Below are 551 nucleotides of genomic sequence, written 5' to 3' on the forward strand. Positions count from 1 at the left end.
CTATCATTCATGTCTGTGTATGAACTTTCCATTCTAATTAGTACAATTTTTGGAGTCAGAAACACAGTAATTCACTAAATTACCTAAAAATGTAGTATAAAATCAGGGAGAAAAGATTTTTTCTTATTGGTCTCCTTTTCTAGAATTTAGACCTACTTTGTGCACATTAATACGTGACTTCCATTGGCAGCTGCTCTAATCCTGGTCCACAGAGAGATGACAGAGCATCCAGATGTGGCCCCTGAACAATCCCTGCTGCCCAACAGCACTGACACCATGGGACCCTCACTCCGTCTCCATCCATGTCTGGGTGTGAGCCCTTCCCAGGACCATGCCCAGTGCAGCCTCTCCTATGTTCATGTCACTGGATCATGAAAGATAAAATCTAAGCCAGATAAGAGGGAATGAGGGAAGGCATGGGTGAGTGTGAGCAAACCTGTCAGGAAGGATGCTTCAGACTCAGAGAAGACTCCCAACTCCAAGGCCCAGCGTTACTCAAAGGAAGGAGACAGAACAATCCACCGAGAATATCATCTCACCTGAGGAAGAGC

General features: G+C 45.2%; 1 annotated feature.

Annotated features, from left to right (window-relative positions):
- Positions 1-551: an enhancer, noted in NCBI's record as "H3K27ac hESC enhancer chr19:53263091-53263641 (GRCh37/hg19 assembly coordinates)". NCBI's record gives its function as "activates a minimal SCP1, AML or CMV promoter by ChIP-STARR-seq in primed H9 embryonic stem cells {active_cell/tissue: H9 hESC(primed)}" and the evidence as "EXISTENCE:reporter gene assay evidence [ECO:0000049][PMID:30033119]".

The sequence above is a fragment of the Homo sapiens genome, chromosome 19 (assembly GCF_000001405.40).
Source record: "Homo sapiens chromosome 19, GRCh38.p14 Primary Assembly".
Lineage (NCBI taxonomy): Eukaryota > Metazoa > Chordata > Mammalia > Primates > Hominidae > Homo > Homo sapiens.